Below are 13404 nucleotides of genomic sequence, written 5' to 3'. Positions count from 1 at the left end.
CTCAGCAGGTGGGAACTGACGTGCAGCAGTGCTGTGCCCTGAGGGCTGATGGCACAGGGTGTGGGTGGACCCCACGGGTGTGGGGTGCACACACAGAAGAGGCCCGGCCACGGACCACATTCAGTGTTAGGATTAAGAGAAATATGAAAACCTGGAGAAGTATTTTTGCTCCATCGTGATCCAGTATGGTTTGGTCTACATGAGGGATCCTGAGCTCAGCCCAAGCTAGACAAGGCATTTGTGGAAGGTTCCCAGTCCCTCCCTGGGGCCACCCGTCCTTGCCCAGCTTCCTCCCCTACTGGTGCCCCCGGTCCCTCTCACCCTTTCTCCCTGGCACACACCCACAGTCCTCAGTTGCCCGTCTCGCCAGCAACACCTGACTTCTGGTTCAATCCTGTGGCTCCTGCATACCTGCCCTGGCCCTGAGCACAGGCCACAGCCCAGGGCCTCAGTACTGCCTGTCCTGCGCCTGCTCCCTCCCCTGCTTCTCTTGGCTCCTGGCCTTGCTGACATCACAGCCAGTAGCGCATACGCAGATGAACCTGTTCCACACTCTGACCGTCCCAGGGCCTTTTGAGGACTGGCCACTTTTGCCTGAAGTCCTTGTTTCACGGCACAAAGCTGCCTCAAGTTTTCTCCATCACATAGCCCAGCAGATTCTCAATTTCCTCTCATGCCAGGGTAACAAAACTTGTCATTATAATCCAGTATTTGTGTCAGATTTCTTTTTTTTTTGGAGACAGAGTCTTGCTCTGTCGCCTAGGCTGGATGGAGTGCAGTGGTGCGATCTCTGCTCACTGCAAGCTCCACCTCCCGGGTTCACACCATTCTCCTGCCTCAGCCTCCCGGGTAGCTGGGACTACAGGCGCCCGCCACCACGCCCAGCTAATTTTTTTGTATTTTTTAGTAGAGATGGGGTTTCACCGTGTTCGCCAGGATGGTCTCGATCTCCTGACCTTGGGATCTGCCCACCTCAGCCTCCCAAAGTGCTGGGATTACAGGCGTGAACCACTGCCCCCGGCCTTGGGTCAGATTTCTAAGAGCCCAAAACTGTGGTTTGCGTAAACCTGGGAGGATAAAAGAGAGCAGGCTGATCTGTAGCGTTTCTCCACCGGCCTCATGCAAAGCATGGCTTCCTCCCCTCTCTAGTTTGAAAAGAACACGAAGTCCGACCTGCTGCTGAAGGAGCTGTACGTGGAGAACGCCCACCTGGTGAGAGCACTTCAGGCCACCGAGGAGAAGCAGCGAGGCGCCGAGAAACAAAGCCGCCTCTTGGAAGAAAAAGTTCGCGCTCTCAACAAACTCGTCAGTAGGATTGCCCCCGCAGCCCTCTCTGTGTAAAGACAGATTATTTTCTAGGATTCATTCGAAAGCACATCTTTTAAATTAAGCCACTGTGCTGCCTTAGATTCCGTGGGTCATGAGCCATGAGTCCTGGGACATCTGAGGATTGGGATTCTTTGTTCACCCCGCAGATAGTTAATGAATGGTCTGCCCTGGGCAAGATGGAGGTGGGGGCTGGGGGAATATGCATGTTGCAGAAGCCGGCGTTTTTATTAGCGGTCCTGAGTAATTTCCCTTGGCAAAATTCCCAGTTTTGCCACTCTCTGGAGCCAGATCCTGGGAGCTGTCAGCAAGGAGCAGGTAAGTGAGCAGTTATGGACAGCACTTTCCATGTGGTGCTTCCGACCCTGGCTGTCAGAGTGAAATGTAAAGTCAGGGCTCTGTACAGTTTTGCCATTTCACTGTTCTGCTTTAAGCTTAGCTTATTAGAACTCTTGGTGGAGGGTGCGTACACACATTCCAGAAAAGGCTTCACTCGCTGGGAACGTCAACCCAGCGAGAAAGGAGGGGAAGCCCCTTCTCCGGGGACCTTATCTGTGGACTCAGGAATGATGGTGTTTATTGCAAATGCACAATCTTTTTCCCATTGAAATGTCATCACACTGGAAATTGTACTATATGTAAAAAAAAAAAAAAGTATAGTTTTATATTTGAAATGTATGCAAATTATGGCCATATGGCTGATTGGAATGTACTACTGTAATATAAAAAGTCACTGTATTTGCAATAAATTCTTTTCTATTAAAATTGACTTCTAAGTTTGTTTTTAATTTTTTAAACTATAAAATATTTCAAACATAGAGGAAAATAGTTATGTAAGAAACACCCATGTGCCCATCAACATATCTAGTAAGAATAATATCCTGCCACAGCACTGTGGAGGGCGGGAGCCTGTTCTGTTCTCAGCCTCCTCCCTCTTCCCGGGGCAGCCGCCATCCCAAAGCTGGCATGTCTTCTCCTTTCTGCAGGAGAAAAATGTCACAGCACCGTGGAAAGATAACAAAGCCTGGAACAGATGGAAAGGTCGGTTCTTTGGAAGATTCGGCAACATGAAGTTGACTGGTTCTTCAAAGTTTACTGATGATAAATGTAATTAATCCCAATATAAATACAGATGTTACATGCCCCAATCAACCCCAGAATTGGACAAGACATTCTAAAGTTTTTACATACAACTAAATAAGCAAACAAAACAATTAGGAAAACTCTGAAGAAAGAAGAGCAATGTATGGGGACTAGTTCTACCAGTTATTAATATGTAAGTCCTAATACAGTTTATGTTACATGGGTGTATGCATTTGTCAAAACTCATTGAGGAGTACACTTCTTCATTCACTTTGGGCTTCTGTCTGAGACTGGAGTAACGAGATTGGAGTAACCAGGAGACCTGAACAACATTATCAATCTACTGACATCTAGAACCCACCACACGACACCAGTAGAAGCAAATGCAGCCAAACACTTACCAAGACAGACCATATCTTGGGCCAACAAATCTCAAAAAATTACGAAGATTCAAGCCATACAATGTATGTACTGTGACCACAATGGAACTAAATTAGAAATCTGTCCCCCAATACGAAGCTGGAAACCATCATTCTCAGCAAACTGTCACAAGGACAGAAAACCAAACACCGCATGTTCTCACTCATAGGTGGGAATTGAAAAATGAGAACACTTGGACACAGGAAGGGGAACATCACACACCGGGGCCTGTCCTGGGGTAGGGGGAGGGGGGAGGGATAGCATTAGGAGCTATACCTAATGTAAATGATGAGTTAATGGGTGCAGCACACCAACGTGGCACATGGATACATATGTAACAAAACTGCACATTGTGCACATGTACCCTAGAACTTAAAGTATAATAAAAAAATAAAAAATGAGGTAAAGTGAAATAAATAAATAATTACCTGTGCCCTGAAAAAAAATATATATATATCCCCCAATATTTGGAAACTGAACAACATACTGCTGAATAACGCATGAGGCAAAGAAGAGATAAGAGGGGAAGTTGGGAAATATCCTGGATTGAATGGAAATGAAAACACAATATATCAAAATTTGTGGGGTAGAGTGAAAGCATTACTTAGGGGAAAAGTCTTAGCACCAAACACCCAGGTTAGAAGAAAGGTCTCAAATCAACGACTTGAGCTTCTACCTTAAATAATTAGACAAAGAAGAGCAAATTAAACCTAAAGTCAAAAGAAAAGAAAATGATGATGATCACAGCAGAAACCAAGGAACGGAACAGATTGGCTGTGCCATGCTGCAGGCTAGAGCTGCTGTGTTAAGTTTGGTTGGCACGGCCACACTCAGTTACAGATTCCCTACGTCCACAGATTCCCTACGCCTGCTTCGTGCTCCAGCAGCAGCACGGAGCGGCTGTTAACAGGTCATGTGGCCCACAAAGCCTAATACACAGAAAACATTTGTTGACCCTTGAAATAGAAAACAAAGAATAGAGAAAGTAAACCAAAGACATGTTCTTTCAGAAGATTAGTAAAACTGATAAACTTCTAGTCCAGTCAGAATAAAAGAAAAGAAAAACTAATACCAAAAATGAGAAGTGATATCACTACAGGTAATACCACTATAGTCTACAGATATACAAGCATCATAAGGCAATATTATGAAGAACATTTTTATTTTTTGAGACAGGGTCTCACTGTTGCCCAGGCTGGAGTGCAGTGGCATGATTATAGCTCACTGCAGCCTCCAACTCCCGCTTCAGCCTCCCGAGTAGCTGAGACTACAGGTGCACAGCACCACACCTGGCAATTTTTTTTTTTTCCTGACGTCTCGCTATGTTGCCCGGGCTGGTCTCAAACTCCTGAGCTCAAGCGATCCTTCTGACTTGGCCTCCCAAAGTGCTGGGATTGCAGGCGTGAGCCACCGTGCCCAGCCCATGAACAACTTTATATAAATAAATTTGGTAACTTAGATAAAATGGAGAATACATAAATTGCCAAAGCTCATTCGAGAAAAAAAATGGATAACCAAAATAGCCATGTATTTATTAAGCCAAAACTGTGGTTAAGCTTCCCACAAAGAAACTTCGGGCCTAGATGGCTTAAATATGAACTCTATAAACATTTAAGAAATAAATAATACCAAGTATATAAAACGTATGATAGATATATTGATTTCATCCATGGCTCCTTGTCTGTAACTAACTCCCATGGCCTTCGTTGCAGTCTTGTAATGCTTGGGCATTTTAGGCCTCAGAAGACATTCTCTTTCTGCCCTTCTGCCCTCCTTTCACCTGCTCCTTTTCCCGCCTTTCTGTCTTGGAGCTGGCCATAAAGAAATTCTCTGTGATCAGAAGGGGCACTGCCTCATACTCTGAAAGAAGAAATGCAGCAGAGGCTAAGAACCAGAGCAGACGGGCCTGGCTGAATGGCGCCACTCAGACTGTGAGCATTAGATCATACCCTCTTAGTCCAATCGTCTCTCTGCTTGGTTGTTGATAATGCCTATCTAATGAGATTTCTATAAAAGGCCCAAAAGGACAGGGTGTGGAGAGCTTCCGGATTGCTGAACATATGGAGGCTCCTGGAGGGTGGTGAGCATCGAAGCTCCATATCCTTTCCCCATACCTTACCCTATGCATCGCTTCCATTTGGGTCCTTTCATCTGCGTATTTTACCATATCCTTTACAATAAACCAGTAAGCTTAAGTGTTTCTGAGTTCTGTGAGCTGCTCAAGCAAATTAATTGAATCCAAAGAGTGGGGCATGGGAACTCCAACTTGAAGCTAGTTGGTCAGAATCTCAGAGGCCCACACTTGTGGCTGGTGTCTCAAGGGAGGGCAGTCTTGGACTGAGCCCTGACCCTGTGGGATCTGACGCTATCTCCAGGTAGTGTCGGAACTGAAATAGAAGTAGAGGACACACCTGCTCTCCACTGCAGAGCTTGGTATGTGGGAAAAACCCCCATGCATTTGGTCACAGTCTTCTGTGTTGTTGTTGTTAAGTGACAGAACAGTTTTTTTTTTCTATTTAGAAAACTCTTCCAAAAAACTGAATAGGAGGGATTATTTTCCCAAGAACACCAGACCAGTATTTCTCATGCACACTGATGCAAAAATTCTACAAAAAAATTTCAAATAAAATCTTACAAAAAGGAGAATATATCATGACCAGGTGTGGTTTATGCCAGGAATCCAGGGTAGGTTTAACATTGAAAACTCAATCGATCAATCAGCCACTGTAATTCACCAGACTAACAAACTAAAAGACAAAACCATCTCAACAGATGCAGAAAAAAGATATGACAAAATCCAGCATCCATTTCTGACTTTTAAAAAAATTCTCAGTAAACTAGGTGTATTAGTCGTCTTATGCTGCTAATAAAGACATACTGGAGAGTGGGTAATTTATAAAGGAAAGAGATTTAATTGACAGTTCCACATGGCTGGGGAGGCCTCACAATCACAGCATAAGGCAAATGGATAGGGACCAAAGTCACGTCTTACATGGTGGCAGGCAAAAGAGCATGTCCAGGGGAACTCCCATTTATAAAACCATCAGATCTCGTGAGACTTATTGACTAACACCAGAAAAGTATGGGGAAAACTACCCCCTTGATTCAATTATTTCACCTGGCCCTGCCCTTGACACATGGGAATTATTACAGTTCAAGTTGAGATTTGGGTAGGGACACAGCCAAACCATATCACTAGGAATAGGAAGGAACTTCCTACCCCAATAAAGGGCATCTACAAACAACTTAAGAGCTAACAAACATCATAATAGTGAAAGACTGTTTTCCTTCTTAGATCAGGAACAAGATAGGGGTGTCTTTGACCACATATATTTAGTACTCTACTGGAAGTTCTAACCAATGCCATCAGGCAAGAAAAAGAAATAAAAGGCATTCAGATTAGAAAGGAAGGAGTAAAACTCTTTATTCATAGAACACATGACTGTTGATGTAATTTACAAAAACACCATGAGAACTCACAGTTTAGCAAGGCTGAAGGATACAAGTTCAACATCAATTGTATTTCTATTTACTAGCAACAAGTGGTTAGAATTTGAAATTTTAAAATACCATTTAGCATCAAAACTATGAAATGCTGACATGGTAGACCTGTACACTGAAAACTACAAAAGATTATTAAGAGAAATAGAAGACAAAACATTAATACCTAGGAAGACAGACCTTGTTTATAGGCCAGAAGACTCAATATTATTAAGATGTCAATTCTCCCAACAGTTTTATATAAATTCAATGCAATCTCAATCAAGGTGCCCAACAGGGGTTTTTGTTGTTGTTGTTGTAGAAATTGACAAATTGATCCTAATTTCTTTTTGAGATAGAGTCTCACTTTGTCACCCAGGCTGGAGTACAGTGGTGTGATCTCAGCTCACTGCAGTCTTGACCTCTGGGGTTCAAGTGATCCTCCCACCTCAGCCTGCCGTGTAACTGTGACTACAGGCATGCACCACCACACCTGGCTAATTTTTTCTATTTTTTGTAGAGACGGAGTTTTGCCATAGGCCCGGGCTGGTCTGGAACTCCTGAGCTCAAGTGATCCACCCATCTAGGCCTCCCAAAGTTCTAGGATTACAGGCATAAGCCACCACACCCTGCCTGTTCCCAAATTTCACATCAAAAGCAAAGGACTTAACATAGCCAAAACAAATCTCAAAAAGAAATGTGGTACACTGGGCCAGCACCAAGGCTCACGCCTGTAATCCCAGCACATGGGGAGGACGAGGCAAGTGTATTGCTTTAGCTCAGGAGTTCAACACAGCCTGGCCAACACGGTGAAACCCCATCTCTACAAAAAATACAAACAACAGCAAAAATATGACACATTAATACTATCTGTTTCAAGAATTATTAGAAAATTACATACACTACATACAAATATGGTATTGGCATTCAGGAGAGAAAAACAGGTCAATGGAACAAAACAGAGTCCTGAAATAAACCCACATATACATTGACAACTACTTTTTAACAAAAATGCAAAGGTGATAGAGCAAAGGGCAGTCCTTTCAAAAAATGGTAGTGAAACAGCTGGATATCTATATTCCCAAGAAAAAGTGAAGGTGGATTGACACCTTGCACCATATAAAAAATTCATTCAAAATGGATCATAGGCTGGCCGCGGTGGCCCACACTTGTAATCCCAAAACTTTGGGAGGCCAAGGTGGGTCACTTGAGGTCAGGAGTTTGAAACCAGCCTGGCCAACATGGTAAAACTCTGTCTCTACTAAAAATACAAAAATTAGCCAGGCGTGGCGGCCTGTGCCTGTAATCCCAGCTACTTGGGAGGCTGAGACAAGAGAATCACTTGAACCCAGGGGATAGAGATTGCAGTGAGCCAAGATCACGCCACTGCACCCCAGCCTGGGTGACAGAACAAGACTCCATCTCAAAACAAAGAAACAAACGAAAAAACAAAACAAAACAAAAAAAAAAACGGGTCATAGACCAAAGTATAAAGCTTAAAATTATAACACTTCTAGAAGTAAAAAGGAAAAAAAATTGTGATCTTGGGATGGGAAAAGATTTCTCGGATGCAACACCCAAAGCATAAAAGAACAAACGAATAAACTGGATTTCATCAAAATTTAAAATGTCAGCTGTTTAAAACATACCATTAAAAGACAATCAACTCTTCATGTGACTTTTCAGTCAATCTGAATCTCAGGGAAAACTGTACAAAGTTCCTTCTCTAGCCCCAATTTCACTGTCCCCTTCCAAAGTGGTGATACTGGTGATCACCCCATAGCCACAAGCCACACCAGCCACCATGGTGGAAATGTGCAAAATCCATGTGTGTCCTTCCTTCCCAAATAGCCAGATGATAAATTAGTATGTCATTAAACATTATATATACTGAAAATTTCTACAGACCATCATCTTCACTTGCATGTGATTTGAAAATGTGTATCTCAGAAATTCAGCTCTCTAGCTTGTACAATACACATGACCAGAAAACAAGACACACAGGATCTACCTTCTTCCTGTCCAGCCAAGTGACTGCTTATTTAAGAGATTCAAATGTAACCATGTTTACTTTCATTTAAAAAACACACTGTAACAACTGTAGGAATGCTGTGATTACAGATACAGCTTATTAGAAAAAGGAGTAGGGGCCGGGTGCAGTGGCTCACGCCTGTGATCTCAACACTTTGAGAAGCTAAGGTGGGAGGACTGCTTGAGGCCAGGAGTTTGAGACCAGCTTGGGCAACATAGTGAGACAGTCTCTACAAAACAAAACCAAAACCAAAAAAGAGTAGGAAGAATAGTGTACAACATTAAAAAAAGAAAGTCCTTAATAGTTAGCAAATTATACTTCTTAGCCAAGTATTCTTAGTTATCTTAAACAATGTCTATAGCTTCTAAAATCAAAGAGGGAGGTGAAGGGAGTGGTGGAGAGAGTGAGTACAGAGGAGTCCATGAGTTGAGTGAAGCCTGGAAGTGCCTCGGCGCATGGTCATGACAGGATGTGCTCCAGGACTCCTTGTCTGATCAGCTGCTCACATTTCCATCGAGGTAAAAAGTGCTGAGGGGACAAGAAGGGATGGAGAAAGAGTAAAATAAATGATTGGGAAAGAATTTGAAATTATTTCTTGTATCATTAAAAAGTAGCACTGATTAGTTTTCAAACTCCAACAAGTAAGTAGTTGAAAGTTAAACTTAAGGGGCTGGGTACGGTGGCTCATGCCTGAAATCCCAGCACTTTAGGACACCAAGGTAGGCGGATCACCTGAGGTCGGGGGTTCAAGACCAGCCTAACCAACATGGAGAAACCGCGTCTCTACTAAAAAATACAAAGTTGGCCCAGGGGCAGTGGATCACGCCTATAATCCCAGCACTTTGGGAGGCCGAGGCGGGTGGATCACGAGGTCAGGAGATCAAGACCATCCTGGCTAACACGGTGAAACCCCGTCTCTACTAAAAATGCAAAAAAATTAGCCAGGCATGGTGGCGGGCACCTGTAGTCCCAGCTACTCAGGAGGCTGAGGCAGGAGAATGGCGTGAACCCGGGAGGCAGAGCTTGCAGTGAGCCGAGACCGTGCCACTGCACTCCAGCTTGGGCAACAGAGTGAGACTCTGTCACAAAAAAAAAAAAAAAATTAGCCAGGCGTGGTGGCGCATGCCTGTAATCCCAGCTACACAGGAGGCTGAGGCAGGAGAATCACTTGAACCTGGGGGTGAGCCGAGATTGTGCCATTGCACTCCAGCCTGGGCAACAAGAGCAAAACTCCATCTCAAAAAAAAAAAGTTAAACTATATTTGCTGTTTTAATCCATTGAAATTGATTCCATTTAGAGCTGTATGGAATTCTGACTTTTACAAATGAATTCAGTTTGCTTAAGTTCAATTCAACTAAGACTTCTGAATTCTAGTAGGTATTGTACTTAGTGTTTATATTTTTAAAATTTATGCACAGAGAAATCCAGATAGGTGCGATTTGGATTATCACTGGCTCAACAGCCTATCAAGAAGACCCATGAAACGCTCATTTCTCCATAAAACCTGTTCTTGGATTTCAGAGTCTGAACATTCTTCTAATAACAAGTGACAACTTTCCTCCTGTATGTCTCAAGGTTGAAAAGTATTCATGACCCACCGCGTGGGTGCTATTCACATGGTACATGGGAAGATGCCGGTACCCAGGTATTGCTTGTCCTGTGTCTTCCTAAGAGGACATCGCTCTTGCTCTGAGGGAACCAGGGGCAGGTGGAAAGATGTCTCCTTCCCTCTCAAATACCAGGACTTACAGAAAACACTGACTGCCTTGGAGGAGGGAGGTTAAGGAAGCAAGGCAGGAAGGCTTTTCAATTCATAGGTGGTCAAAGAAATCTCAAAGGAAGATCTCAAGGAAGCAAAATGTAACCTCAGTAGCCATGTGCACCTGAAGGTCCTGCCTCACAAACTCAAAGGCCTGGCAAGAGACCCATGACCAAATTCTTCTAAACCAATCTTGAAGATACATGAGCCAAGAAAAATGTAAAAAAACACAACAAAAACAAAATAACTGAGTTGTTCATTTAATGTCCATACTAATGCTGGTATTAAACAGATGGAGAGTATTGATTTCTGGATAAAAAGTAACAGTGCTTGCCATAGTGACAAATATAAAAGAATGTATATTAGAAAATGTTTCCCAGCCAGGCGCAGTGGCTCACGCCTGTAATCCCAGCACTTTGGGAGGCCAAGGCAGGTGGATCACGAGGTCAGGAGTTTGAGACCAGCCTGATCAACATGGTGAAACCCCGCCTCTACTAAAAAAAATACAAAAATTAGCCAGGCATGGTGACACACGCCTGCAATCCCAGCTACTCGAGAGGCTGAGGCAGGAGAATTGCTTGAACCCAGAAGGCAGAGGTTGCAGTGAGCCAAGATCACGCCACTGCACTACAGCCTGGGTGACAGAGCGAGAGTCCATCTCGAAAAAAACCATAGATAGATAGATAGATAGATAGATAGATAGATAGATAAATGTTTCCTACTAATATTTTAGAGTATGTGAATGATCTACACCACAGATTCTACAGAAAGTTTGGATGTGGTTGAACATTAGAAGCCCCTAATACCAACCATCAACTGTGGCTGATATTGTTTCTTTTTCATGCCTCCATTTTTATAATTGAGGGTAGGGTCACAGCTGAGAAACAGAGTTAAAAAATTCAACCACCAGGCCAGGTGCGGTGGCTCACACCTGTAATCCCAGCACTTTGGGAGGCTGAGGTGGGCGGATTACCTAAGGTCAGGAATTTGAAACCAGCCTGGCCAACATGGTGAAACGCCGCCTCTACTAAAAAATATACAAAAATTAGCCAGGCGTGGTGGCAGGCGCCTGTAATCCCAGCTATTTGAGAGGCTGAGGCAGGAGAAAAGCTTGAACATGGGAGGCAGAGGTTGCAGTGAGCCAAGATCATGCCACTGTACTCCAGCCTGGGGGACAAGAGCGAGACTTTGTCTCAAAAAAAAAAAAAAAAAAAGAAATTCAACCACAGGACAGCATTTGGGATGAAGGGACATTTCACATATCTTGCTTTATGAGGATGGCTTTTTTCTTGTTCTTGTGCCAGAGCTTCCTCCTGGGCCCTCCAGAAATATAGCTGCTTATCAGAGCATTAATTCATTATCTGCTTTAAATTCATTAGTGTCCTAAGAGAATACTTGGGACAGAAATTGTTGCCTTAACAACTGAAGACTTTAGGGAACCCTCAAAATCTTTTTTAAAAATATTCAACCTTTGTTTTAGAAGCTCCAAGGGTATTAGTAAAATAATTTTAGTCAACTATTAGTAAAATAGTTTTAAAGATCCAAGGGTATTAGTAAAATAAGAGATCAACTCACCCTGTTAGGAAAATAAGCTCAAGAACCACATGACCTGAAACATTCTTTTGCTCCCTGGCATGAACAAAGTGAACACCAAATCCTTAGGGTCAACAGATCCTAAATGGCTGACCCCAAGACAGCAGGCAAGGAAAGAAAGAGAACAGCTTTTATTAGGTCATTTTTCCTCCTCACGACTTCAGAAAATTGGGATAGGATAAAAAATTTAGTGGCCGGGCACAGTGGCTTAAGCCTGTAATCCCAGCACTTTGGGAGGCTGAGGTGGGTGGATTGCTTGAGCTCAGGAGTTCAAGACCAGCCTGGCCAACTGGTGAAACTCCGTCTCTACAAAAATTACAAAAATTAACTGGGTGTAGTGGCGTGTGCCTGTGGTCCAGCTACTTGGGGAGGCTGAGGTGGGGGATCACTTGAGCCCAGGAGGCAGAGGTTGCAATGAGTGGAGATCCCGCCACTGCACTCCAGCCTGGGGAACAGAGCAAGACTCCGTCTCAAAAAAAAAAAAAAATAATAATAATAATAGTAATAATATAGTTAACGTGAATTCATCTAATGTGAATATGAAGATTTCTAGGGAAATAATTAATATACTGAGATTACTTAAGGCATGGTGGTTCACACCTGTAATCCTCGCACTTTAGGATACTAAGGAAGGTGGATTGCTTGAGCCCAGGAGAGTTTGAGACTAGCATGGTCAACATAGCAAGGCCCCATCTCTATTTTCTTTAAAGATAGATAGATAGATAGACAGACAGACAGACAGACAGACAGACAGACAGATAGATAGATAGATGGATAAAGATTCCTTATAAGGACAAATTTAGCTTAAGTTACAACTTTACAATTTTAATCTTCCTCTATTAAATTGTTATGTTTATATACCAAATACTTGAAAATTCTTCTTTTGAAAACAGAAAAATCTGTATCACTATTTGCTTGCTAAAGAACTAGGATTTATAAGGCAAAGTGTAAGCTAAAAAAACTGCTTAGGAACTTTTAGAATAAATTATATGAACAAAGGAGCTAAATCCAACAGTTCAATAGCCTCCAGATAATAATCTATCACTTACCCAGAATAAGGCTGATTATGGTAATTCCCCTAGAAAACACCTAGTTTTAAATATAAGCAATATCCTACTAAATTAATGAATCTTTTATTATATGCAACATTTGCTTCCAGTCTTAATATTCAGAAAAAGTACAGAACAGGGTATATTATACTAAAAGATAATGCCTAATATATAAACGATCATCAAAAGTTGATATTTATTTTGCTATTCCAACTTTTCCACCATACAACACTCATAAGATTTAAAGTAAAGAATCTGAAGATAAGAAATACCTGGCTATTTTTTTTTAATAGGACTGAAGTGCCATCATCAACTTCAAATTCTCCATAGTCTTTTAGACACCGGACCTGAAAGAAAAAATGAGAGATGTTTTATCTAAATTAGTTTTTAATATGCAGTGACCAAAAAATAAATCAGCATTATACAAATACACAGACAATAAGGACTTTGTTTGTTTCCTCTCCATGTACTTAGGCCTAGTACTACTATTGTGGTATTCTAATAGTTCCAAGTGTCCAGTTTTGACAGGGAGGAAGAAGAACCGCAAAATCTCTGCTAGTAAATGTCAGCGCTGACAGCAAGGCGATGCAGGGAGACAACGATGTTGCCTCCTTCCCCTCTGAAATCCTGAAAAATTAAGCAGGTGAAATATCTATCCACA

At 42.5% G+C, this 13404-nt stretch overlaps 2 protein-coding genes across 34 annotated transcripts in view; one reads left to right on the top strand and one right to left on the bottom strand.

Moving 5' to 3' along the window:
- NINL (ninein like) overlaps positions 1-2095 on the top strand; it is a 132835-nt gene extending 130740 nt beyond the window's left edge. For all 29 annotated transcript variants that reach the window (NM_001318226.2, NM_025176.6, XM_047440021.1 and 26 more), the window contains one exon: positions 1150-2095. In NM_001318226.2, the coding sequence (NP_001305155.1) occupies positions 1150-1341 (192 nt within the window). In that variant the 3' untranslated portion in view covers positions 1342-2095. The remainder of the gene's footprint in view (positions 1-1149) is intronic.
- Positions 2096-6228: 4133 nt separating this feature from the next.
- Positions 6229-13404, bottom strand: part of GINS1 (GINS complex subunit 1) — a 40891-nt gene continuing 33715 nt past the window's right edge. For all 5 annotated transcript variants that reach the window (NR_134574.2, NM_021067.5, NM_001410830.1 and 2 more), the window contains 2 exons: positions 13016-13090; positions 6229-8869 (listed from right to left, as the gene is read on the bottom strand). Coding sequence is in view for 4 of the 5 variants with exons in the window: in NM_021067.5 (NP_066545.3) it covers positions 8801-8869; positions 13016-13090 (144 nt within the window). In the remaining variant the exon portion in view is untranslated. The remainder of the gene's footprint in view (positions 8870-13015; positions 13091-13404) is intronic.

Source organism: Homo sapiens, chromosome 20 (genome assembly GCF_000001405.40).
Source record: "Homo sapiens chromosome 20, GRCh38.p14 Primary Assembly".
In the NCBI taxonomy this organism is placed as follows: domain Eukaryota; kingdom Metazoa; phylum Chordata; class Mammalia; order Primates; family Hominidae; genus Homo; species Homo sapiens.
The sequence above is the reverse complement of the archived record's forward strand: the minus strand, read 5'-3'. Positions and strand labels throughout refer to the sequence as shown.